This window comes from Homo sapiens, chromosome 5 (assembly GCF_000001405.40).
Source record: "Homo sapiens chromosome 5, GRCh38.p14 Primary Assembly".
Lineage (NCBI taxonomy): Eukaryota > Metazoa > Chordata > Mammalia > Primates > Hominidae > Homo > Homo sapiens.
This window is the reverse complement of record NC_000005.10, coordinates 69,087,240-69,112,869: the sequence shown is the minus strand read 5'-3', so window position 1 is coordinate 69,112,869 and position 25,630 is coordinate 69,087,240. Positions and strand designations below refer to the sequence as shown.

The window sequence follows — 25,630 nt, the reverse complement described above, 5'->3', positions numbered from 1 at the left end:
TTTACAGAATCAGCCTTCCTAAATGCTACTTTACTTCTGGTTGAAAAGCCCACGTAGCTAAAGAATAACTAGTAGGAACTTATTTTACTCTACAATATGCAAGGAATAGAGAATATTCTAGATACTACTCCTCTAGAGAAAAATAATCCAGAGGGCACGGTAAAACCAGCAAAGTCATTTCTAAGATCTAGTAAAGTACAAAGTACTTAAAAAGCTGATAAAATTTATGTTCTCATTCCAGGGAAAATTTTTTTTTTTTTTTCAGACAGATCTCGCTGTCGCCCAGGCTGGAGTACAGTGGCGTGAACACAGCTCACTGCAGCCTCCAATTCCTGGGCTCAAGTGATCCTCTTGCCTCAGCCTACCAAATAGCTGGGACCACAGGCATGTGCCACCATGCCTGGTTAATTTTTTATTTGTAGAGACCAGGTCTAGCCATGTTGTTCAGGCTGAGGAAAAAGGTTTTCATAAAAGAAAATTATAGAAAGGACATATTAGCTCGGTTTATGTAAATATTTCAGAATGGTAGCTTCAAGAGCAATCTAAATAGCATTACTATACATTCCTTTTTTTTTTTTGAGGAGAGTCTCTGTTGCCCAGGCTGGAGTGCAATGGCACGATCTCGGCTCACTGCAACCTCCATCTCCCGGGTTCAAGTGATTCTCCTGCCTCAGCCTCCTGAGTAGCTGGGATTACAGGTGCACATCACCATGCTTGGCTAATTTTTGCATTTTTAGTACAGACGGGTTTCACCATGTTGGTCAGGGTGGTCTTGATCTCTTGACCTCGTGATCCACCCGCCTCGGTCTCCCAAAGTCCTAGGATTACAGGCATGAGCCACTGTGCCTGGCTAAACAGCATTACTATACATTCTATATTTACAAATTTACAGGTATAACATGTCTTGTATGATACATATACTTGTAGAATACCTATTATATATAGATACATTAAGTGTATTATATATACCTATAATGGAAGTATAATACAATACTTCTATTAAAGTTTACAATGCAAAGTGAGGATACTCTTCATTCTATGATTACCACTATAATGGATAAATTCTGTTAGTGTGGTATTACAACAAAATTCAGTACACTACACATGAGAAAAACCATGTACTTTTAAATTTCTTAAGTTTTCACTGAGTTAGGATATGGCAACATCAACAACAATCAAATACAGAGAACATAACTTAATCTTTTTGTTAACAAAGAAGGCAACTGAGAATTTTGTAATGCTTCAGTCTCATAATTAAGAAAAAAAGGCCAGGCGTGGTGGCTCACGCCTGTAATCCCAGCACTTTGGGAGGCCGAGGCGGGTGGATCATGAGGTCAGGAGTTCAAGACCAGCCTGACCAATATGGTGAAACCCTGTCTCTACTAAAAGTACAAAAATTAGGCCAGGCGCAGTGGCAGGTGCCTGTAATTCCAGCTACTCAGGAGGCTGAGGCAGGAGAATTGCTTGAACCTGGGCAGCAGAGGTTGCAGTGAGCTGAGATTGTGCCACTGCACACCAGCCTGGGTGACAGAGTGAAACTCTGTCTCAAAAAAAAAAAAAAAGAAAAAGAAAAAAAAAGTCCGGGCGTGGTGGTTCACACCTGTAATCTCAGCACTTTGGGAGGCCAAGGCGGACAGATCACAAGGTCAGGAGTTCAACACCAGCCTGGCCAACATAGTGAAACCTTGTCTCTACTAAAAATACAAAAATTAGCCAAGTGTAGTGGCATGTGCCTGTAATCTCAGCTACTCGGGAGGCTGAAGCAGGAGAATTGCTTGAACCTGGGAGGTGGAGGTTGCAGTGAGCCAAGATGGTGCCACTGCACTCCAGCCTGGGCAACCCAGTGAGACTCCATCTCAAAAAAAAAAAAAAGAAAAAACAATCATCAAGTCCTGGACTGATGCCCTGATCCATTTCTCACACTAATGAGAACACTCTCACTTCTAGTTACTTAAGGAGGAAAACTTTTTTTTTAAATGTTTTCAAGTCATTTTTATTTCTTTTGTGAGTTGTCATTCCCAGTTTTTTGCTGATTTCCTGCCAAGGATCTTAAGCATTTTTTAAACTGAAATGGGTGATTTATACTTTGAAAGGAATGTAAAACTTATTTCTGGCAATTTTTGTTGTTAGTTTTTTGTATACACACTGATTTCTGTTATACGTTAAGTTTATAATCATTATGAAGCCAAATATAGTGAGTTTTCCCTTTGTGATTTTTTCCACTGCTTTTATGCTCAGAATTTTCTCCATCTACGTATTTTATTCTATGTTTTTACAAATGTCTATTTTGTAAACTCACAAAGCTCTTCAATCCACTTGAAATTTATTTTGGAGTACTCTATTAGTGAGGGGGAAGGATTAAATAGTGGCCCATGCTTTAATACTAATGACCCAGTTTGAAATCTACAGGCAGAGTATTCTTTTACTCTGCTCTACTTGGCATGTTACTTTGTTCACTTCATTACTTCATTCATCTCCCTTCATTACTTTGCTTGAAAGTCCCTTTCAGAATAGGGACTATTATACCTTATTTGTCTTTATCTATCCTTTCCTTTATGTCTAGGAAAATGCACCATGCACAGGAAGTGTGGGAGATCAGTCACAGTGGTGGGAGAAATTATAGGAATAGAAGCAAACCTTCTTGGAAGGCTGGGGGTTTTGCAAGTTTTGAAGGATATTTTGGCTGAAGGCAGCCAGATTCTCTTATCAGAAGCCTAAAAGCTTAAGGCGTAGATACAAGGGAGTGTAGAGGAGTTTATCTAAATAGCTCGTTTACTCATGTTGTCCTAAAACCGACCTTTGATCATTTGCGCTCAAGACTGCTCTCTATGTAGGGGGTCAGCAATGTTATTTACCCACAAAGCGTGTTGATTCAAGGCCTTTGTCATTAAATCTATACTGAATAAATGCCCGCAGTGCCAGCTTGTCAGGGCCGCAGCTGCTGACTCTTTACAGCACCCTCCTTAGGGTCTGTAAGCGGCCTGGTTCCCTAGCCCACTCCTTCACTAAATACCTGTGTCTGAGTGCATTTGTTGTTCAGCCAGGGTCTGCAAGTAGGACCCAGCAAGGAAGTGTTTAATTTGGTAAAACAGAAACACTATATAGTTCTAACAGTTTGGAATTGTAGATTGGTAACTCATTTAACAAAAGGATAATACTTGAATCACTTAGGATGAATAGGAGTGCTTAGGTGGCAAAATGTTGGATAAATGTTCATCATAATTTAAATTTAACAAGTTTTTAGTTATTTTTCAAAAATGATTTACAGGGTTAAGAATGAGTAGGGGGTTTGGGGGAAAGGTGCATGAGTACAACATGAAAGAGATCATTGTGGTGATGCATCAGTTCTATATCTTGCTTGTAATGATGGTTACACAAATCTACACATGACAAAATTTCATAGACCTACATGCATACATACATACATACACACACACACGATCGTATGTAAAATTGGTAAAATCTGAGTAAGGTCTATGGATTGCACCAATGTCAATTTCCTGTTTTTTTTTTTAATTTTTGATTTTAATTTTTGTGGGTACATAGTAGGTATATGTATTTATGGGGTATACGAGATGTTTTGATATAGGCATGCAATGTATATAATCACATCAGGTAAATTGGGGTATCCATCCCCTCGAGCATTTAGCCTTTGTGTTACAAATAATTCAATTATACTCTTTTAGTTATTTTAAATGTATGATTAAATTATTGTTGATTATAGTCACCCTATTGTGATATGAAATACTAGGTCTAATTGACTGGTTTTGATAGTGTACTTGAGTTGGTTAAGAAGTTACCTTTGGGGGAAACTAAATGAAGGGTGAGGGTCCTCTATGTACTATTTTAGCAACTTCCTAGGAATCTATAATCATTTCAAAATCATTTTCCACTGTTTCCATGTTAAGAAATTTCTCCAACTACGGATTATATTTTCACAAATATCTATTTTTGTAAACTTATAGAATTCTTCAAAAACAAAAAAATTGTAAGAAAAATGTAAAACTAGCGGAAAAAGCCCCTGGAATTTTTTTTTTTTTTTTTTTTTGAGGCTGAGTCTCACTCTATTGCCCAGGTTGGAGTGCAGTGGCATGATCTCAGCTCACTGTAACCTCCGCCTCCCAGGTTCAAGCAATTCTCATGCCTCAGCCTCCAGAGTAGCCGGGATTACAGGTGCCCACCACCATGCCCAGCTAATTTTTGTATTTTTAGTGGAGATGGAATTTCACCACGTTGGCTAGGCTGGTCTCAAGCTCCTGACCTCATGTAATCCGCCCACCTCAGCCTCCCACAGTGTTGGGATTACAGGCGTGAGCCATCGCGCTCAGCCTCCTGCATTCTTTTAAATGGTGAAAGATAAGATTTTATTCCTTTGGATAATATGTGACATACATACTTTCCATTTCCAAGTAACTGATAATGGAAAATTCTACCTTTGCTGGTCCTCCTCCAGAACTGGTGAACAAAACACTGAGTAGTGAAATGACAACAATATCACTGTGCTCAAATAGCAGCAAAGTCCTACAAAAATAAAACATTATCATTTATGAAATGTAATTTATCTTTATCAAGACGCATGAATTCAACTAGAGTTAGAGAAAGAAAAACATTTCCCCTTGATTTCACAAAACATAAGAAAAATAAATAGGTACAACTGCTTTAGAAAATGGTTTGGCATTATCTACCTTAGAAAGATTGAAGCTACAAATACCTAATCATACCACTCATAGAATTATGTCATACAGATTTCTTATTCTTGTATAGGTATGTATCAGGTAACACTTACCAGGTTGCTCATACCAGCACTGTTTGCAGTAATCCAAAAAAATACAGGCAATGTGGCTGGGTATGGTGGCTCACACCTATAATCCAGCACTTTGGGAGCCCAAGGCAGGGGGATCACGAGGTCAAAAGATCGAGACCACTCTGGCCAACATGGTGAAACCCCATCTCTACTAAAAATACAAAAATTGGCTGGGCGTGGTGGCACATGCCTGTAATCCCAGCTACTCGGGAGGCTGAGGCAGGAGAATCACTTGAACTCGGGAGGTGGAGGTTGCAGTAAGCCAAGATCGGGCCACTGCATGCCAGCCTGGTGACACAGTGAGACTCCATCTCAAAAAAAAAAAAAAAAAGTACAGGCAACATATACCCATGTGCTGCATAACATTATTTTGGTCAATGGTAGACCACATATATACGATGGTGGTGCCATAAGATTATAATGGAGCTGAGAAATTCCAGTCACCTAGTGTTAATGCATTACTCATGTGTTTCTGGTGATGCTGGTGTAAACAAGCCTACTGCACTGCCAGTCATATAATACAGTACATACAATTATATACAGAACATAAGACTTGATAATGATAATAAATGACTATGCTACTGGTTTATGTATTTACTATACTATAAATTATTTTAGAATGTACTTTTGCTTGTTAAAAATAAAAGTAACTATATCCTTTGACTTCAAATAGTGGTGTCAAAAACAAAAAAAAAGTTAACTGTAAAATAGCTTCAGACAGGTCCTTCAGGAGGTACCCCAGAAGAAGGCATTGTTATAGGAGATGACAATTCCTTGCATGTTACTGCCCCTGAAAACTTTCTAGTGGGACAAGATGTGGAGGTAGAAGACAGTAATATTGATAATCCTGACCCTGTGTAGGTATAGGCTAATGTGTGCATGTCTTAGTTTTTAACAAAAAAGTGCCAGGAGCAGTGGCTCATGCCTGTAATCCCAGCACTTTGGGAGGGTGAGAAGGGTGGATCCTTGAGCCCAGGAGTTTGAGACCAGCCTGGGCCACATGGCAAAACCTGCTATCAAAAAAGATACAAAAGTTAGCCAGGTGTGGTGGTAGGCACCTGTAGTCCCAGCTACTGGTGAGGCTGAGGTGGGAGGATCCCTTGAGCCAAGGAGATGGAGGTTGCAGTGAGCCAAGACTGTGCCATATACTCTAGTCTGAATGACAGAGCAAGATCCTGTCTCCAAAAAAAAAAAGTTGAAAAAAAATTAAAAACAGAAAAAAAGCTTACAGAATAAGGATATAAAGAAAAAATATTTTTGTACAGTTGTACAATGTGTTTATGTTTTAAGCTGTTTTTACAAAAGAGTAAAGTATGCTAAGGTTAAGCTTCTACCTCCTGAGGTCAGGTGATCTCTTCCACCTCAGCCTTCTAGGTAGCTGGGATTACAGGCACGCAGCACCATGCCTGGCTAATTTTTTGTAGAGATGGGATTTTGCCATGTTGTCCAGGCTGGTCTCGAACTTCTGGGCTCAAGCTATCTGCCCACCTCGGCTTCCCAAAGTGCTGGGATTAAAATTTTTGCAATTGAGAAACTGCATAATGGTTTTAGTAGAAGAATGAGAGGGCAGTGTTGGTAGTGATAAGGTCAGGAGCTAGATGACTAAATAGGGAACCAAGTAAAGATGTAAGTACTTCCTCTTTCCCTCCTTATTGTAACACAAAAGGACAGTGATATAGTAACACAGGAACCAAAACATAATTTCATGAATAACAAATTTAAAATATTACAGATGATAAGCAATAGCAGCACTCAATCATATTCAAGCATACGGTGAAAAACCTCTTCCCAAGCTAGGAAATTCAGCTAGCTTTCTCAGCCCTCCAAGCTGCAGCTGCTACTGTGGCTAGAGATATGACATTTCCAATTATACCTACTCTGCATCTGACAAAGTACATGACAAACAAGTCAAAGGGATCCCAATCCAGAAGCTATTCTATTGGCCATGAGAGGGGAAAGGACTTTTCACAAAGCATTTCCACATTTCTCACCCTTCACTTTCCACTCTGTCTACCCCACTATTCTGAGTGAGATCCTTTAGAACAGTGGTCCCCAACCTTTTTGGCACCAGGGTCTGGTTTCCTGGAAGACAATTTTTCCAGACAGCAGTGGTGGGGGGATGTTTTAGGACATAACTGTTCCACCTCAGATCATCAGACATTAGATTCTCATAAGGAGCATGCAACCTAGATATCCCTCCCATGCACAGTTCACAACAGGGTTCCTGCTCCCATGAGAATCTAATGCCATTGCTGATCTGACAGGAGGTAGAGCTCACGCAGTAATGCTTGCTCCCCCGTGGCTCACCTCCTGCTCTGTGGCCTGGTTCCTAATGAGTTATGAACCCATACTGGTCTATAGCCAGGGGGTGGGGGATCTCTCTGCTTTAGAACATTCTTTTTTTTTTTGAGACGGAGTCTCGCTCTGTTGCCCAGCCTGCAGTGCAGTGGCGTGATCTCGGCTCACTGCAACCTTCGCCTCCTGAGTTCAAGTGATTTCTGGCTAATTTTTGTATATTTTTTAATAAAGGCGGGGTTTTGCTATGTTGGCTAGGGTGGTCTCCAACTCGTAACTTCAAATGATCCACCCCTTGGCCTCCCAAAGTGCTAGCATTACAGGCGTGAGCCACAGTGCTGGCCAAGAACATTCTTCATTTCACTCCTTACCTCTCATTCTCACGGCAAGGCATTTTTTCTTACACTTATTCACTAAGTAAAATCCTTTACAGATGGGGAAATGTTAAAAGAATGCTCATACACAGCTGCATGATACAATTCCTATCAATGGTCCCTAAGCATTTCCTCCTTAAACCAGTCCACTTGCAGAAAAAGACTAATCTATATAGATCTAGGGAAATATGAAATGGGAGTAGTTTACTTTATCCACCACGCATTTAATCTGATAATTGATATACTACTTCTGAGACATTTATTTATGAGAGTATTTGCAAAATTGTGCAAAAAATGAGTGCTTTTAGAGATTTTTGTTCTCCTTCTTATTGGCTAATTTTATTTACCACTTCAGACCTTTTATTATAGCTTCTAAGCTGTTAACAGGGATCATGAATAAATGATTAAAAAGCCGTTTATGCTAAAAATTTTCTGAAACTTGGAATTCTAACTAGTAAAATATCTATGACAAATCATGAATAAATATATTAATGGTATTCACTAAAGAACTAGTCCAGAAACTAAACAGGTTTGTTCTATCTGTTGAATTCTCTCTGATGCTATAAAAGTGCTAGACACATTTGTACAGATAAATATTTGACGTAAAACACAGTGGAACAAAAATAATATTCAAAATGAAGAAATACAAACACACATTCAAAATATGCATTTTTATTTACCTTAGTGGTCCACAAAGAGTGAGGCCAAAAAACCACAAGAGTGAAATAATACACCCAGCAACTGCATGTTTAAATATTTTGATCCACTATAAATGGAAACAAAAAAATTAAAAATTTCAGTCACATATATTTTGCTATATATCCAAATTTTAAATAAAATACAGAAAGATAATAATAACAAATATTTTAAAGGTGAAATCATTACATATTTTGTAAATAGAAAACATAAGATCCCTTGACTAAGTCTAGATTTCCAAGACAGTATTCTTATTCTGGGCCGGGTGCTGTGGCTCATGCCTGTAATCCTAGCACTTTGTGAGGCCGAGGCAGGCAGATCACCTGAGGTCAGGAGTTCAAGACCAGGCTGGCCAATGTGGTGAATGAAGCCCCGTCTCTACTAAAAATACAAAAATGAGCTGGGTGTGGTGGTGGGTGCCTGTAATTCCAGCTACTCAGGAGGCTGAGGCAGGAGAATCGCTTGAACCCGGGAGGCAGAGGTTGCAGTGAGACAAGATCGTGTCACTGCACTGCAGCCTGGGCGATGGAGCAAGACTCTTTCTCAAAAAAAGAAAGAAAAAAAAAAAGGACAGTATTCTGTTTTCCATTATCTATATTCTTGTCTGCTGGTAGATTTTGAAATCTTTTTCTTCAGAGTACAATTTTATGATTTCTCAGTTTCCCACTAGTTTCCTAGGATCATTTAACTTTTTGTCTTTAAATTCTTTTCTACCAGGAATTTTTAGTGATCCAATTATCTGAAAGGAGAGAAAAAAGTTAAAATGGGGTTTAGACTATTAATCATATTTTAAAAAATGTTCTTGGTCTCTGAAACAGAAGTACTTAAATTCGTCTTTCTAATAAAAAAATTATGACGCAGGTTTGTAAGTCATGGCATAAAGCAAACATGTACTATGGTATAACTGCTGCCCAAAGAAGTGACGATGTGAGATGATTATGCAAAATGTAGGACATTTCTAGTTTGAATCACAGCTGCCTAAAGAGAACAGTGACAATGATCATGAGGGTGTCACATTGTCACAATGATGATGAGGCATCATTCTAAGAACTTCATAAGTATTAATTCATTTTTCCTCACAGTTCTGTTAGGAAGTTACTGTTATCTCCATTTTACAGTGAGCAAATTAAGGTAGAGAGAAATCAAGTAACTTGCCCAAAGTAAGGGTCAGTAAGGAGGACAGACAGAACATGACTTTGTCTGACTCCAGAAATCACACTCTTAACCCCTATGCTTTGTCAGCTTTCCAGTGACATTTGTACTAGGCTCTTGGGCATGCTTTCATGTCCAATTTGTAAATCTTTCAGAATAAGAAGTGTGTACTGAAGAAAACAATTACATGAATGCTTTATAATTTTTTTTACCCTCTTGTTTTTTTTAAAAACATTCCATGATCTTAGTACTTTATGATTTAAAGTCTCCATTCTGAAAAGACAAGAGCAAGTTAACTCTAAAATTGTTCTGTGGCATACTTAAATCATTCATTAAGTACCCATTATAAAAAATAAGCATTGCCTCCTGGCCCACTAAACGAGAAGCTGCTAGGAATAAAAGATTCTGCAAAAATCTTACCTGGTGTTTGGTAATAGTTTTCCCAGAAGAAAATGGCTTTTGAAACAAAACCATAAAAAATGCAGTCCTGTAAATATTGAAACATTAATATATTAATATTAATCCATATTAAACACAAGATACAGTTTTAAGTAAAGACACTTATTTTAAACAAATATGCCAGAACTTGAAGTGTTATCCTCTGAATAAATCATACTGGAGAATTAATTATACTTATTTTAGTAAAACTCCTATTGCAATATTTTGATAACTTTTTTTTTTTTTTTTTTGAGATGGAGTCTTGCTCTGTCACCAGGCTGGAGTGCAGTGGCACGATCTTGGCTCACTGCAACCTCTGCCTCCCGGGTTCAAGCAATTCTCCTGCCTCAGCCTCCTGAGTAGCAGGGATTACAGGTGTGCGCCACCACGCCCAGCCAATTTTTCGTATTTTTAGTAGAGATGGTGTTTCAACACGTTGGCCAGGCTGGTCTCGAACTCCTGACTTCAGGTGATCCGCCTGCCTCGGCCTCCCAAACTGCTGGGAAAACAGGCATGAGCTATCACACCTGGCCGAGAACTCTTATTTTCTAACTGTCTTCAGAACCAGCTAACAAGCCACAAAAATAAAGGAGTCACAATTTTTTTTATATCTTAAAATATCAAAGAAGAGAATTCCTATTTTCTCTAAAATTCAGTAATAAATCTTGAAATAGTATAATGAAAATGAAGAAATTACTAATTATATATCCCTACCTTTCACATTGCCAAAATAGTTATATAAAAATGCACACAACTTGGCCAGGCACAGTGGCTCAAGCTTGTAATCCCAGCACTTTGGGTGGCCGAGGTGGGCGGATCACCTGAGGTCAGGAGTTGGAGACCAGCCTGGCCAACATGGCAAAACCCCGTGTCTACTAAAAAAAATACAAAAATTAGCTGGCCATGGTGGGACACACCTGTAATCCTAGCTACTCAGGAGGCTGAGACAGAATTGCTTGAACCCTGGAGGCAGAGGCTGCAGTGAGTTGAGATTGAGCCACTGCACTCCAGCCTGCGCAACCTAGCCAGACTGTCTCAAAAAAAAAAAAAAAAAAAAAAAGCACGTCACTGGTGCTTAATATTTCCTAGTCAATAATCTCTTTCCCAACTTACCAAAATTATACTTCGAAGAGTGTTGTTTTTGTTTTTTTTTTTAAATGGAGTCTCGCTCTGTTGCCCAGGCTGGAGTGCAGTGGCATGATCTCAGCTCACTGCAACCGCTGCCTCCCAGGTTCAAGCAATCCTCCTGCCTCAGCACCCCTTGTAGCTGGGATTACAGGCACATGCCACCACGCTTGGCTAATTTTTGTATCTTTAGTAGAGACAGGCTTTCGACATGTTGGCCAGGCTGGTCTCCAACTCCTGACCTCAGGCGATCCACCTGCCTCCGCCTCCCAAAGTGCTGGGATTACAGGCATGAGCCACCGTGCCCAGCTGACTCCCAAGAGTCTTTAACAGGTTTTTATTAACACAGAGGGTGGTCACTATCAATCTCAAGGTCCAAGAAATCTTTATTTAGAATTTCTTATATGTAGGCCAGGCGTGGTGGCTCATGCCTGTAATCCCAGCACTTTGGGAGGCTGAGGCGGGCAGATCACAAGGTCAAGAGATTGAGACCATCCTGGCCAACATGGTGAAACCCTGTCTCTATTAAAAATACAAAAATTAGCTGGGCATGGTGGTGAGCGCCTGTAGTCCCAGCTACTCGGGAGGCTGAGGCAGGAGAATCGCTTGAACATAGGAGGCAGTGATCTTGCAGTGAGCCAAGATCACGCCACTGCACTCCAGCCTGGTGACAGAGTGAGACTGTGTCTCAAAAAAGAAAAAAAAAAAGCATTTCGTATAAGTAGAATAAATTAATGTTCACACTACATGAGGACTCTGTACTAAGAAAGGATTATGCAGTGAATAATAATAATAATAAATAGCCCAAAAACTAAATTTGCAAAAATCTCATCAAAGTTTGTGTTTAGGCAAGTGATTAGAGCACAACAATCCGTTTTCTTTTCAGTCTCTTTGTACCTCTAATCTTAAGTATACTCCCAGTTAAAAAAGTTTATCAAATACTTGTCAGGAGGAACAAACAAAATATTGTATGTAAAGTTTCTTAAAGATACTCTGTTAAAACAGGATTTTCAAAGAAATAAAAAATATCAAGAAAAAACCCCCCCCCACACTCACCCAAGTTTTAATATAAAAATGAACTGAACAATGTGAACAGCTTTTAGGAGATCATATGATTCGAAAAGTCCCACAGCCTTCAAAAATTTAGTGAAACATAGTAACACAATATATTTTGTTAATCTGAAAAATAAAAGCAGAAACAATTTTTAGTATCACTGAAATTACAAGCAGCTCATCAATCTGGTTTTTTAAACAAGAGGTCATTACAGAAACCACAGAAATATACATAAACACAAAATGAAACAAAACAGAGTCCCCAAACAACTCACCATCCACGTGATAACTACTGTTGACTTTTTTTTTTTTTTTTTTTTAACTCATAGAGACGGGGTCTCAATGTGTTGCCCAGGCTGGTCTCGAACTCCTTTGGTCAAGCGATCCTCCAGCCTTGGTCTCCCAAAGTGCTAGGATTACAGGTGTGAGCCACCGCGCCCTACTGTTAACATTTTGAGGCCAGGTGCAGTAGCTTGAGACCAGCCTCCGCAACGTGGCAAAAGCCTATCTCTACAAAAAATACAAAGAATTAGCCAGGCATTATGGTGCGTGGTAGCAGTCTCAGCCACTCGGGAGGCTAAGGTGGGAGGTTGAGGTTGCAGTGAGCTGTGTTCGTGTCACTGCACTCCAGCCTGGGCGACAGAGTGAGACCCTGTCTCAAAATACAAACAGGCTGGGCGCTCATGCCTGTAATCCCAGCACTTTGGGAGGCTGAAGTGGGTGGATCACCTGAAGTCTGGAACTCAAGACCAGCCTGGCCAACATGGCGAAAACTCACCTCTACTAAAATACAAAAATTAGCTGGGCGTGGTGGCGGGTGCCTGTAATTCCAGCCACCTGGGAGGCTGAGGCAAGAGAATCGCTTGAACCCGGGAGGCAGAGGTTGCAGTGAGTCGAAATTGCACCACTGCACTTCAGCCTAGGTAACAGAGCGAGACTCTGTCTCAAAACGAACCAACCAACCACAACATTTTGGTATACATACTTCTGGTTTCTTTTCAATGTATATGAATGATTATGTATAGATACAGTTTACTTTAACAAAAGATGCCCAATGAAAAATGAAAATTTTGTTGATCGAGTTGCTGGACTATTTTGTTATCTGCTTTCTAACTTAATAACTCCTCCAAACAAATAAGGAGAACAAAATAAAAACTAAATTCTGTTATGAAATGAAAAGACCACAATATAGGAAGAAACGGAAGAATGGTAAATGCCTTTGGTTTGCGCCTCCTTGGCCTTGTTAAGTGACTACAGTGAGAGTTGTGGTTGAAAGGTCAATTGACTGGACCTAGAGTCCTAAAAAGGCTCAGGAATTGGAAACACCTCAGGAGGGGAATGAGAAGCTGAAAAGACGAGGATCTCTAGGAAGTCTTCCAAGTAATCAGATCCCCAGGTTCCCACCCAGCAGGCAGGCAACTATCTCTCCTCAACCACTATAGGAGTCACGAGTCTTAGCCTCTGGCGAGGTCACTTAAATTTCCTGAAGTAGACAACTCTGCTGGCTTTATAAGAGAATGTCCATGTTTTTAGGAAAAACAAGGATTTAAGGATAAAGAAGCATGAATTATGTAACTTATTCTCAAATAGTCCAGGGGAAAAAAATACCTGTGTGTGTGCATTCAGAGAGAATAATAAATTACACAGGACGATACATTAACAATTACGGAGTCCAGGTAAAGAATATACTACTCTTGTGACTTTTAGGTAAACAGGAAATTATTTTTAAATGAGTAGTTTAAAAGTGTTATTTATTCAAGAGTGTATTGTCTCAGGTAGGGAAATGTGGTAAACAATCCTTTGCTATTTTATTTGTACTATTTACTTAGCAGAGTTACCCTTCTATTGTAGTTTATTGCAGAATCAATCAAATGCAACTCAGGACTGGTTGAATTTTGATGGATTCCAGGTTGCAAGAGTTTTACTTTATACAGACCAAAAATCAAATACTAGTTATAATCTGCAACAAAAACTAGTTGACAAGTCCTTTAATTGTGGGTATTTTTATGCCTAAATTCACAAATATGGATTATTTTAAACAAAGGTTTATTTTGGTTTAAGTCCTCTTTGCGGGGAAGGGCAGAGGGTCACAGTTAACATTTGTTGAGCACCTGCTATGTTCCAAGTGCTTTGAATATATCATTTCATTTAATTCTTACAACAGTCCTACAAACTAAGAAGTGGTATCCTTGTTTCACAAAACTGAGTCGTAGAAAAGTAATTTGCCCAAGGTCACACAACTAATAAATAAGCTGGTAGTCCGAGTTGTTTAAAACCCCATGTATAGTGCCTTCTACATAGTAGATACTTGAGTATTTATTAAATGAATTGAACTTGAATTACACACTGATTTTTATTTTTTAGCCAGAGAACTGTTGAGCTACTGCAGTAGGCAAAGCCCAAGAGGCAGGTTTGAACCTAAATCCAGATTTCAGTAATTCCATGTTTAGAGAACCAGGGAATTTTCTTTGATTGAACCCCCGGGTTCAAGCAATTCTCCTGCCTCAGCCTCCTGAGTAGCTGGGATTACAGGTGCCTGCCACCATGTCAGGCTAATTTTTGTATTTTTAGTAGATGGGTTTTTGCCATGCTGGTTGGCCAGGCTGGTCTCATACTTCTGACCTCAGGTGATCCACCCACCTTGGCCTCCCAAACAAAGTGCTAGGATTACAGGCATGAGCCACCGCGCCTGGCGAGAACCAGGGAATTTTCTAAACCTTCACAGAAAAGTCCAGTGATAACCTTTGACAAGACTAGTTAATGGGAAATAATGGTTTATAAATTGGGGGTGTGGGGGGATGGGCCAGGCATGGTGGCTCATGCCTGGGAAGCCTAGGCAGAATGATTACTTGAGTCCAGGAGTTCAAGACCAACCTGGGCAATACAGCGAGACCCCGTCTCTCCAAAAAGTTTTTAAAAATTAGCCTCCCTCTCCTCTCCTCTCCCGTCTCCACGTCCTGATAAATCGACGCCATTGTTTTTCCTTCATAACATGAACTAGGAATGTCTGCTTATCAATATAGGTTACTTAGCCTGGTTTTTCATCTTTAGCCCAACAGTTCATTAATTGGAACTTTAAAAATCAAAGAATCCAGGCCAGGCATGGTAGCTCATGCCTGTAATCCCAGCACTTTGGGAGGCTGAGGTGGGACGACTGCTTGAGCCCAGAAGTTCGAGATCAACCTGGGCAACATAGCAAGACCTCATCTCTACTAAAAATTAAAGAATGAACTGGGCATGATGGTGCACATCTGCAATCTCACATACTGGGACCTCATCTCTACTAAAAATTAAAGAATGAACTGGGCATGATGGTGCACATCTGCAATCTCACATACTGGGGAGGCTGAGGTGGAAGGATTGCTTAAGCCCAGGAGTTTGAGATTGCAGTGAGCCATGATTATTTTACTGCACTCCATCCTGGGCAACAGAGGAACTGAACTTGTCAGAAAGAAAAGAAAGGGAAGGGGAAGAAAGGAAGGAATGAAGGAAGGGAAGGAAAGAAAAAGAGAAGAAAGAGCAGGGCGCAGTGGCTCACGCCTGTAATCCCAACACTTTGGGAGGCCCAGGCGGGCGGATCACGAGGTCAGGAGATCGAGACCATCCTGGCTAACACGGTGAAACCCCGTCTCTACTAAAAATACAAAAAATTAGCCCGGCGCGGTGGTGGGCGTCTGTAGTCCCAGCTACTCGGGAGGCTGAGGCAGGAGAATGGTGCGAATCCGGGAGGCGGAGCTTGCAGTGAGCCGAGATCGCGCCACTGCACTCCAGCCTGGGCGACATAGCGAGACTCCGCCTCAAAAAAAAAAAAAAAAAAAAAAAAGAAAAAGAGAGGAAGGGAAGAAACAACTAAAATCTCTAAGGGTGTTTTTTGTGTTCTGTTTTTTTCTAGTACATATACATTTACTTTTTTTTTGTTGTTGTTGGTTTTTTGTGGGGGTTTTTTTGGGGTTTTTTTTTGGAGGGGAAAGGCGGGGCAGGGTTTTGCACTGTCACCCAGGCTGCAGTGCACTTATAGGATCATAGCTCACTGCAGCCTTGACCTCCCAGGCTCAAGTGATCCTTCTGCCTTAGCCTCCCAAGTAGCTGGAACTATAGGCACTGCCACTGTGCCTGGCTAATTTTTATATTTTGTAGAGACAGGGGTCTCACTGTGTTACTAGGGCTGGTCTCAAACTCTAGGGCTCAAGTGATCCTCCTGCTTTAGCCTACGTTTACTTTATACCTAGACAATTGCTGGAGATTTGGTAAGTTTTCCAGAAGGGTCCTTCTGGAAGGTTGAAGCCTGGCTTTTGGGATATTGGAGTTAAATGAGAGAATGGTAAGCAGAGTTAAGAGGGGAAACTTCTTTTTAATTTCCACATTTTCCGTCCAGGACCTCATCCTTCCTTTACTCTTGCAACCTGGAATCCATCAAAATTCAACCAGTCAGGAGTTGAATTTGATTCTGCAATAAACTACAATAGAAGGGCAACTCTGCTAAGTAAGTAGTACAAATAAAATAGCAAAGGATTGTTTACCACATTTCCCTACCTGAGACAATACACTCTTTACACTCTTGAATAAACAGCACTTTTAAACTACTCATTTAAAAATAATTTCCAGTTTACGTAAAAGTTACAAGAGTAGTATATCCTTTACCTGGACTCTGTAATTGTTAATGTATCGTCCTGTGTTTTATTATTCTCTCTCCCTCTGAATGCACACACAGAGGTATTTTTTTCCCCTGGACTATTTGAGAGTAAGTTACATACTTCATGCTTCTTTATCCTTAAATACTTGTTTTTCCCAAGAACGTGGACATTCTCTTATAAAACCAGCAGAGCTGTCTACTTCAGGAAATTTAAGTGATATGCTTTTTTTTGAGACAGAGTCTCGCTCTGTCACCCAGGCTGGAGTGCAGTGGTGCGATCTCGGCTCACTGCAACCTCTGCCTCCTGGGTTCAAGCCATTCTCCTGCCTCAACTTCCTGAGTGGCTGGGATTACAGGCGCATACCACGTCCAACTAATTTTTTTTTTTTTTTTGGTATTTTTAGTAGAGATGGGGTCTCACCATGTTGGCCAGGCTGGTCTCGAACCCCTGACCTCAGATGATCCACCTGCCTTGGCCTCCCAAAGTGTTGGGATTACAGGTGTGAGCCACTGCGACCGGCCTGATATGAAACTTTTATTTAATCTACTGTCCATAGTCCAGTTTTGTCAATTGACCCAGTAACATCCTTTAAAGCACTTTTCCCCTACTACCAAATCAGACCAGAATTGCCTATTGCATTTAGTTGTCATGTCTCAAGAATTAACATCTGATATGCTGTTATTTACAAAATGAGATGCTCAAAATAGATTAGAAAATTAAATTTATGCTACAAAAATGCAGTTGGTTTAAGTTCTGTCCTATGTGGTGTTCTTCCCTTTTCATAACAAATGCTTATGTTGGGCGGGCGCGGTGGCTCATGCCTGTAATCCCGGCACTTTGGAAGACCGAGGCAGGCCGATCACGAGGTCGGGAGCTCAAGACCAGCCACACCAACATGGAGAAACCTCGTCTCTACTAAAAATACAAAACATTAGCCAGGCGTGGTGGAGTATGTCTATAATCCCAGCTCCTCGGGAGGCTGAGGCAGGAGAATCTTTTGAACCCGGGAAGCGGAGGTTGTCGTGAGCCGAGATCGCGCCATTGCACTCCAGCCTGGGAACAAGAGCGAAACTCCGTCTCAAAAAAAAAAAAAAAAAAAAAAGTTACGTTATAATGCTATTACTACAGTTCTAAAGAATTTATCACATTTATCACTTTCTTTAAATATCAAAGAAGTATTTATTCCAGAATGGGAAGAACTCGTTAAAAATGGAGGCAAAGAACACCAGTTCCAGCCAAATTGCAGGGCTGTATTTTGTGCATTTTCGACACTATCTCAGAACTTAGGAAGGATACACTAGAAAGTGGTCGCTGCACCTGTTGGTCCCTTACTTTTCGGGTTGGTGGGAGAATTGAAGAGAGGAAGTGGGAATTTTCACTTTTTACTCTATGAATTGCTTTGCTGTTTAGATTTTTTTTTGACAACGAGGACACATTTCTTATTTAAGAACAAAATAAAAAAAGAAAACGGGGCTGGACCCTCGATGTGCTCAGTTAATCTGAACATCCAAGTTCCCCTGAACATCCAAGTTCACGTATGTACTTTGGTTTCGTCGCCTGAAGAGAGCTGATGGTGACACCTTCCCCTAATTTATGCAGGGAAACGTCAGAAAGGTTAAGTAGTCGCCAGACTATTTCAGGGAGAAACAGCCAAGAGAAAGGCTTCTCACAGATCAGAAAAACCTCTCACGTGAACTGGCGGGCAGTTCTAAGACTGACTGTCTGCCTTGTAACCCAGAAATTCAAGCAGAAGCTTTTTGGCTTTAGCGCCTTCCTTCTGCAGCAGGCACCCGAAGAGCCCGGGGAGCCCGGAGGCAGCCTGCGCGCAGGGAGGCAGGCAGGGGGAGAGGGCGCGCCGACCCCGGGACGTCCCGGGCTGTCAGCGGAGACCGGAGGGAGGCCGGAGAAAGTGCATCCTGAGCGACCCGGCCGGTCGCTGCCTTCCGGATCGGTCCCTTACCGAGCGCTGGGTACGTCCACCGGCCCAAGGCCGCCGCCGCCGCCGGGGCCGGCCAGCACGTCCCCGCCGTATTTCTCCTCCATCCCGGGGCTCACGAGCCGCCGCCGCTGCCCCTGTCGCGGGGTCTCCTCATGTCTCGCCGCTGCCGCGGAACAGCGGGTGCAGGCGCGTCACTCCCCCATGGCAGAGACCCCGTCGGGCTCCTGCAGGCCGGGCCGCCACTGCCGCCGTCGCCGGCTCCGGCTCACTAGCACACACGCGTCGGGACTAGGCCGCGATCAGTTCCGGCGGCGCCAGGTTCCCGGGAAGCAGCGGCGGTAGGGACGTTGCCAAGCCACGTCATCAGGCCCAGCAACCCTCACTCCCGGGGGAGTGCCCAGCCTTGCGTCTGCGCAAGCAGAACACTCGCCTTTCCTCGTCCCTTAGGCTCCTCCCGCCACGTTGTGTCGCATTGAAGCTCCGCCTCCTATCAGCCTCTCCGGGTGGCGCTCCCTGTGCACTTACCTGTCCCTACAGTGCCACCTATGGGCCGTCAGAAGTACAGCGGATTCCTGTAGGGCAGAGGGGGAGGGCGTGGAAAATGTACAGCGTGTGTGATTAAACAAAGCTCACCAATCTTTTCCTCTGCGTTAGGGATTCTTTTTTTTTTTGTTTTGAGATGGAGTTTCGCTCCTGTTGCCCAGGCTGGAGTGCAATGGCGCGATCTCGGCTCACGGCAACTTCCACCTCCCAGGTTCAAGCGATTCTCCTGCCTCAGTCTCCCAAGTAGCTGGGATTACAGGCATGTGCCACCACACCTGGCTAATTTTGTATTTTTAGTAGAGACGGGGTTTCTCCATGTTGGTCAGGCTGGTCTCGAACTCCTGACCTCAGGTGATCCACCCACCTCGGCCTCCCAAAGTGCTGCGATTACAGGAGTGAGCCACCGCACTCGGCCTAGAGATTCTTAATCTAGGTTAACATACCCTCTGCCTCTAAGTTTTTGTGAGTATGGATCATTTTTGTGATGAGAAGGCCCGAAGTCTTAAAAGTTCACGTGCCCTTCCCCCAACCAGAGATAACTATTTTTGAAGCTGTAGAGAATCAATTACAAATAGTGGTACGGCCATTTCTTTTGAACAATGCCTTTGATGGACTTTGGAGAGGAGAAACTAGTATTGACCAAAATTTGCCTCCTCAGCAAACTATCCCAGGGCAATTTTCTAGGAGTGACCACGTGCGAAACTTCATGGCCTTCTCTCCTACTCCTAAGGGAACCTAAAGGCAATTTCCAGATTTCTAAAGAAACATTCTTATCCTGGGCAACATGGCAAAACCCTGTCTCTATCAAAAATACAAAAACAATTAGCCAGGCGTGGCATATGCCTGTGGTCCCAGCCACTCAGGAGGGAGAGGCGGAAGGATCGCTTGAACGTGGGAGGTCAAGGTTGCAATAAGGCATGATCATGCTACTGTGCTCCAGCCTGGGCAACAGAGCAAGACCGTCTCTGGAAAAAAAAAAAAAAAGAAAGAAAAAGAAAGGATTCTTCTTTGCCACAGGGAGCCTGGGGTCATCTATCAAATAAAGTAACGGAGGAAGGTGACTGCTTTTGTGGCTTTTTGTGTGGGGCCTGGAGTACTGGTAACCGTTGTTGCTAGAGGCCCTGGAATCCAACTGTGTGAGGACAGAACATAGGAGAAGGAAGAGGATTTTGTTAAGTGTTGCTGCAAACTGTTTTGTCTCCTTTTTGAAAAGGAAAGCGTTGATTTTCTTTAAATTCTGCCTGTGAAACTGTGTAATCCAGGCACATCTGTAAAAACAGGTCAGGTAGTGTTACCTGAAAAGGGGGTCCCCATCCAGACCCCAGGAGAGCTTGGATCTCACGCAAGAAAGAATTCGAGGCAAGTCCATACAGTAAAGTGAAAGCAAGTTTATTAAAAAAGTAAAGGAATAAAAGAATGGCTACTCCATAGGCAGAGGGCACAGTGGCTCATGCCTGTAATCCCAGCAGTTGGGAGGCTGAGGCGGGTGGATCACCTGAGGTCAGGAGTTTGAGACCAGCCTGACCAACATGGCGAAACCCTGTCTCTACTAAAAATACAAAATTAGTCGGGTGGGGTGGTGCATGCCTGTACTCCCAGCTACTCGGGAGGCTGAGGAGGAGAATGGCTTGAACCCGGAGATGGAGGTTGCAGTGAGCCAAGATCGCGCCATTGCACTCCAGCCTGGGCAACAAGAGTGAAACTCCGTCTCAAAAAAAAAAAAATAATAATAGTAATAAGAATGCCCAACCTCCTGGGAATGCAGCCGAGTAAGTCTCCCCCTTGTTTTACCCAGCCCCTATTCAAGATGGAGGCACTCTGGGTCAAACGCCTCTGACAAGTAGGACTGGGTATTATAAAGGTTATTTTTCTGTTGCTAAAAATTTAGGAATGTGGGTTCCTGTGTCAGTCTTGGTTTGAATCCCAACTCTGCCACTTAGTAATTGTGGGATCTTGGGTCAGTTAGTTGGCCTTTCTGCGCCACAGTTTTTTTTTTATATGCAAAGTAGGAATAGTAATATTTATATTGTAGGGTTGTTGGGAGGATTATACATGTGTTAATAAGTGAAAAGTCTCTAGAACTTGCTAGGTTTTGAAGGGAACAGGAGGGTTAAAGAAAGACACACACACACACACACACACACACACACACACACACACACACACACAGAAAGAGGGCGGCTCGACAGTAAATGCAGGCTTTATGTCCAGCATAAAACCTACAGATGTGGGGGACCAGCTTAATGCCAGAGCCCACCACTGCTTATAGGCTGGGGGTATTTATAGGTATGGGCGGTAAGGGTCTGGGCAGTATGGCTTGCTGCCTGGCAGGATATTGATAAGATGTTCCTGTGATGAGGCAGTTCTGGCCCTTGTTCTGGCAGATGTCATCATGGTATTCCTTGGAACTTTGCCCAGCAAGATATGATAGGGATGTTTCTTTATTTGGGCCTTTGTCTGCCTTGTGGTCAAGTGGTTAGACAGGATGTTTCTTACAGCCCCGAACCCCTGTGAAATGTTTCACTTTGACCAAGGTCTGCAAAATTAGTGGGGAGCTTACAAAATGGTGCAGTTTGGACTAACAGAACTGTTGTCAGAGGCGTTTGAACCGGGGCAACTCCATCTTGAATAGGAGCTGGGTAAAATAAGGCTGAGACCTACTGGGCTGTATTCCCAGACAGTTAAGACATTCTAAGAGATGTCTATGGGGGTAGCCATTCTTTATTCTTTATTCCTTTACTTTCCTAATAAACTTGCTTTCACTTTATGGACTTGCCCTGAATTTTTTTTTTATTTGGACACGGAGTTTTGCTCTTGTTGCCCAGGCTGGAGTGCAATGGCATGATCTCGGCTCACTGCAACCTCCACCTCCCAGGTTCAAGCGATTCTCCTACCTCAGCCTCCCCAGTAGCTGGGACTACAGGCATGCGCCACCACACCCAGCTAATTTTGTATTTTTAGTAGAGACAGGGTTTCTCCATGTTGGTCAGGCTGGTCTCGAACTCCTGATCTTGGGTGATCCACCTGCCTCGGCCTCCCAAAGTGCTGGGATTACAGGCGTGAGCCACCAAGCCTGGCCCTGAATTCTTTCTTTCATGAGCTCCAAGAACCCTGTCTTGAGGTCTGGATCTGGACCCCTTTCCTGTAGCACTATGAATAGTATAAAATGTCACTCAATAGATGTTAAATATTATTATTACTCTGGGAAATTTGGGGATGATTTGGAGATGAAAATCGGGTTTTGAGCAGTATAAATTATAATTAATTTACAATACTCTAATTTGAATACACACAAAGACCTTTAGTAGCATAAAAAAAAACGAGGTATCACAGTCTGTCTACTGGAACTTTATTGTTGAAACCACCTTTGCAAAATTATAACAGTGAGAAAATTATGGCAAAAGAGATCTGATCTAATCAAACCCTGTCTTGCCTTTAGCTTTCAAACTGCCCTTAATCATTCTTGGGCTTGGGCCAAGCTAACTTTGGGAGACATTTATAGTTTAAATGATAATGGCCCTTCCCCCAAACTCAATTACCTTTGTAAAGCTATTGAGAGACCATCAGGCTAGGAGAATGAGAGGAGCCTGAATTCTGCTAAGGCGTAGACATCAAGGAGCGCTAGACAGTATTCCAGAGGTCACAACTTACCTAATTACTCCTGCAGATAACATCACTCTTGTAGAACCTAAGATTGGCCTTTTGAGACATCTTTTCAGTTTTTTTTCTGTTTTTTTTTTTTTTTTTTTTTTTTTGTGTGGCATATCTGAAGACTGATGGGTCCAGATGGACCATAGCTCCACCTGGATCCAACTACCACTTCTGTGGCCCCACCCAGAAGTCATTAATAGCAATAAGTTAGGAAGGGAATGTGGCTCTTTTAATTGGGAAAAAGGCTATATGACTGAAAATAAGTACATTTGTCATGAATTAGGACTGTGTGGAAATAAATGTGGATACTGGTCTTGTGTCATTTGGGCCACTTGGATAAAAAATAAAAAGGATCCAGTCCACCTTCAAAAAGGAAAAAATGGCCCTTACTTTACTGAGGGACAATGTAACCCCTTAGAGCTAGTAATAACCAATCCCCTTGATCCGTGCTGGAAAAAAGGGGAGCATGTGACCTTAGGAATTGATGGGGTCAGACTGGATCCTCAGGTAAATATCTTAGTTCGAGGAGAAGTTTACGAACGCTCTCTTGAGCCACTGTTTCAAACTTTCTATGATGAACTAAATGTGCCAGTATCAGAAATTCCAGGAAAAACAAGAAATTGGTTTTTGCAATTAGCCGAGCATGTAGCCCAGTCTCTCAATGTCACTTCATGTTATGTATATAGAGAAACTGTAATGGGAGATCAATGGCCATGGGAAGCCCAAGAATTAGTACCTACAGACCCAGTTCCTGATAAATTCCCGGCTCAAAAGAATCGCCCTGATAATTTCTGGGTCCTAAAAACCTCAATTATTGGACAATATTGTAGAGCTAGAAAAGGAAAAGAATTCACTCACCCCGTAGGACGACTTAGTTGTCTGGGACAGAAACTGTATAATGGTACCACAAAAAGTCACTCGGTGGAGTTCAAATCACACAGAAAGGAATCCATTTTGTAAATTCCCAAAGTTGCAAACTGTGTGGACCCACCTGGAGTCCCACTGGGACTGGACAGCCCCCACTGGATTATACTGGTTATGTAGGCATAGAGCTTATGCCAAATTACCCGATGAGTGGGCAGGTAGTTGTGTTATTGGCACTATTAAACCATCTTTCTTCCTACTGCCCATAAAGACAGGCGAACTCCTGGGCTTCCCCATCTGTGCTTCCTGCAAAAAGATAAGCATAGCTATAAGAAATTAAAAAGATGATAAATGGCCCCCTGAGAAAATCATACAATATTATGGGCCTGCTACTTGGGCACAAGATGGCTCATGGGGATACCAGACCCCCATTTACATGCTTAACCGAATCATACGGTTACAAGCTGTCTTAGAAATAATCACTAACAAAACCGGCAGAGCCTTGACTATTCTGGCCCAGCAAGAAACTCAGATGAGAAATGCTATCAAATAGATTGCATTTTGATAGATTGAGAAATCTATCAAAATAGATTGGCTCTCGACTACTTGCTAGCAGCTGAAGGAGGGGTCTGTAGGAAATTTAACCTTACTAATTGCTGTCTACACATAGATGACCAAGAGCAAGTAGTTAAAGACATAGTTAGAGATATGACAAAACTGGCACATGTGCCCATGCAAGTGTGGCATGGATTTGATCCTGGGGCCATGTTTGGAAAATGGTTCCCAGCACTAGGAGGATTTAAAACTCTTATAATGGGAGTTATAATAGTAGTAGGAACCTGCTTACTGCTCCCTTGTTTGCTACCTGTACTTCTTCAAATGATAAAAAGCTTCATCGCTACCTTAGTTCACCAAAATGCTTCAGCACAAGTGTACTATATGAATCACTATCGATCTGTCTTACAAGAAGACATGGGTAGTGAGGATAAAAGTGAAAACTCCCACTAATGAGTGAGGTTCTCAAAGGGAGAAATAAGGGAGGAGACCACCCCTCATATTGTCTTATGCCCAATTTCTGCCTCCAAAGAAAGAAGTAAAAACTAGAAGGCAGAAATGAAATCCACAGGCAGACAGCCCGGCGCCCCGCCCTGGGCCTGGTTAAAGATCGACCCCTGACCTAACCAGTTATGTTATCTATAGATTTCAGACATTGTATGGAAAAGCATCATGAAAATCCCTGTCCTGATCTGTTCCATTCTGATTACCAGTGCATACAGCCCCCAGTCACGTACCCCCTGCTTGCTCAATCGATCACAACCCTCTCACATGGACCCCTTTAGAGTTGTAAGCCCTTAAAAGGGGCAGGAATTGCTCACTTGGGGAGCTCTTTTTTTGTTTTTTTTTTTTTGAGACAGAGTCCTGCTCTGTTGCCGAGGCTGGAATGCAGTGGTGCGATCTCGGCTCACTGCAAGCTATGCCTCCCGGGTTCACATCATTCTCCTGCCTCAGCCTCCCGAGTAGCTGGGACTACAGGTGCCCGCCACCACGCCCAGCTAATTTTTTTTGTATTTTTAATAGAGACGGGGTTTCACTGTGTTAGCCAGGATGGTCTCCATCTCCTGACCTCGTGATCTGCACGCCTTGGCCTCCCAAAGTGCTGGGATTACAGGTGTGAGCCACCGTGCCTGGCCTGAGCTCGGTTTTTAAGATGTGAGTCTTGCCGACGCTCCTGGCTGAATAAAGCCCTTCCTTCTTTAACTTGGTGTCTGAGGGGTTTTGTCTGTGGCTTGTCCTGCTACACATGCCTGACTAATTTTTGTATTTTTTTTGTAAAGACGGAGTCTTGCAATGTTGGCCAGGCTGGTCTTGAACTCCTGGGTTCAAGCAATCCTCCTGTCTTGGCCTCCCAAAGTCCTGGGATTATAGGCATGAGCCATTGGGCCTGGTACATTTTTCTTTTTTTAAACTTTTTTTTTTTTTTTTGAAATGGAGTTTTGCTCTTGTTGCCCAGGCTGGAGTGCAGTGGTGCAATCTTGGCTCACCACAACCTCCACCTCTCAGG

At 42.4% G+C, this 25,630-nt stretch overlaps 1 protein-coding gene across 6 annotated transcripts in view, besides 5 other annotated features; it reads right to left on the bottom strand.

Moving 5' to 3' along the window:
• SLC30A5 (solute carrier family 30 member 5) overlaps positions 1 to 18,856 on the bottom strand; it is a 37,056-nt gene extending 18,200 nt beyond the window's left edge. For 2 of the 6 annotated variants that reach the window (NM_022902.5, XM_006714672.5), the window contains exons 1-5: positions 18,532 to 18,856; positions 11,941 to 12,063; positions 9,742 to 9,808; positions 8,154 to 8,239; positions 4,434 to 4,521 (exon numbers count right to left, since the gene is read on the bottom strand). In NM_022902.5, the coding sequence (NP_075053.2) occupies positions 4,434 to 4,521; positions 8,154 to 8,239; positions 9,742 to 9,808; positions 11,941 to 12,063; positions 18,532 to 18,614 (447 nt within the window). In that variant the 5' untranslated portion in view covers positions 18,615 to 18,856. Of the gene's footprint in view, positions 1 to 4,433; positions 4,522 to 8,129; positions 8,909 to 9,741; positions 9,809 to 11,940; positions 12,064 to 18,531 lie in introns of those variants that run through there. The other 4 variants (XM_005248569.4, XM_017009749.2, NM_024055.5 and 1 more) reach the window with 3 other exon arrangements.
• Positions 12,019 to 12,596: an enhancer, noted in NCBI's record as "H3K27ac-H3K4me1 hESC enhancer chr5:68396101-68396678 (GRCh37/hg19 assembly coordinates)". NCBI's record gives its function as "activates a minimal SCP1, AML or CMV promoter by ChIP-STARR-seq in naive H9 embryonic stem cells {active_cell/tissue: H9 hESC(naive)}" and the evidence as "EXISTENCE:reporter gene assay evidence [ECO:0000049][PMID:30033119]".
• Positions 18,074 to 18,368: a silencer, noted in NCBI's record as "tiled region #11799; K562 Repressive DNase matched - State 1:Tss". NCBI's record gives its function as "represses a minimal TATA promoter and a strong SV40 promoter by Sharpr-MPRA in K562 cells {active_cell/tissue: K562}" and the evidence as "EXISTENCE:reporter gene assay evidence [ECO:0000049][PMID:27701403]".
• Positions 18,414 to 18,703: a silencer, noted in NCBI's record as "silent region_16076". NCBI's record gives its function as "represses an Ori minimal core promoter by ATAC-STARR-seq in GM12878 lymphoblastoid cells {active_cell/tissue: GM12878}" and the evidence as "EXISTENCE:reporter gene assay evidence [ECO:0000049][PMID:35858748]".
• Positions 18,834 to 18,933: an enhancer, noted in NCBI's record as "active region_22638". NCBI's record gives its function as "activates an Ori minimal core promoter by ATAC-STARR-seq in GM12878 lymphoblastoid cells {active_cell/tissue: GM12878}" and the evidence as "EXISTENCE:reporter gene assay evidence [ECO:0000049][PMID:35858748]".
• Positions 19,034 to 19,143: a silencer, noted in NCBI's record as "silent region_16075". NCBI's record gives its function as "represses an Ori minimal core promoter by ATAC-STARR-seq in GM12878 lymphoblastoid cells {active_cell/tissue: GM12878}" and the evidence as "EXISTENCE:reporter gene assay evidence [ECO:0000049][PMID:35858748]".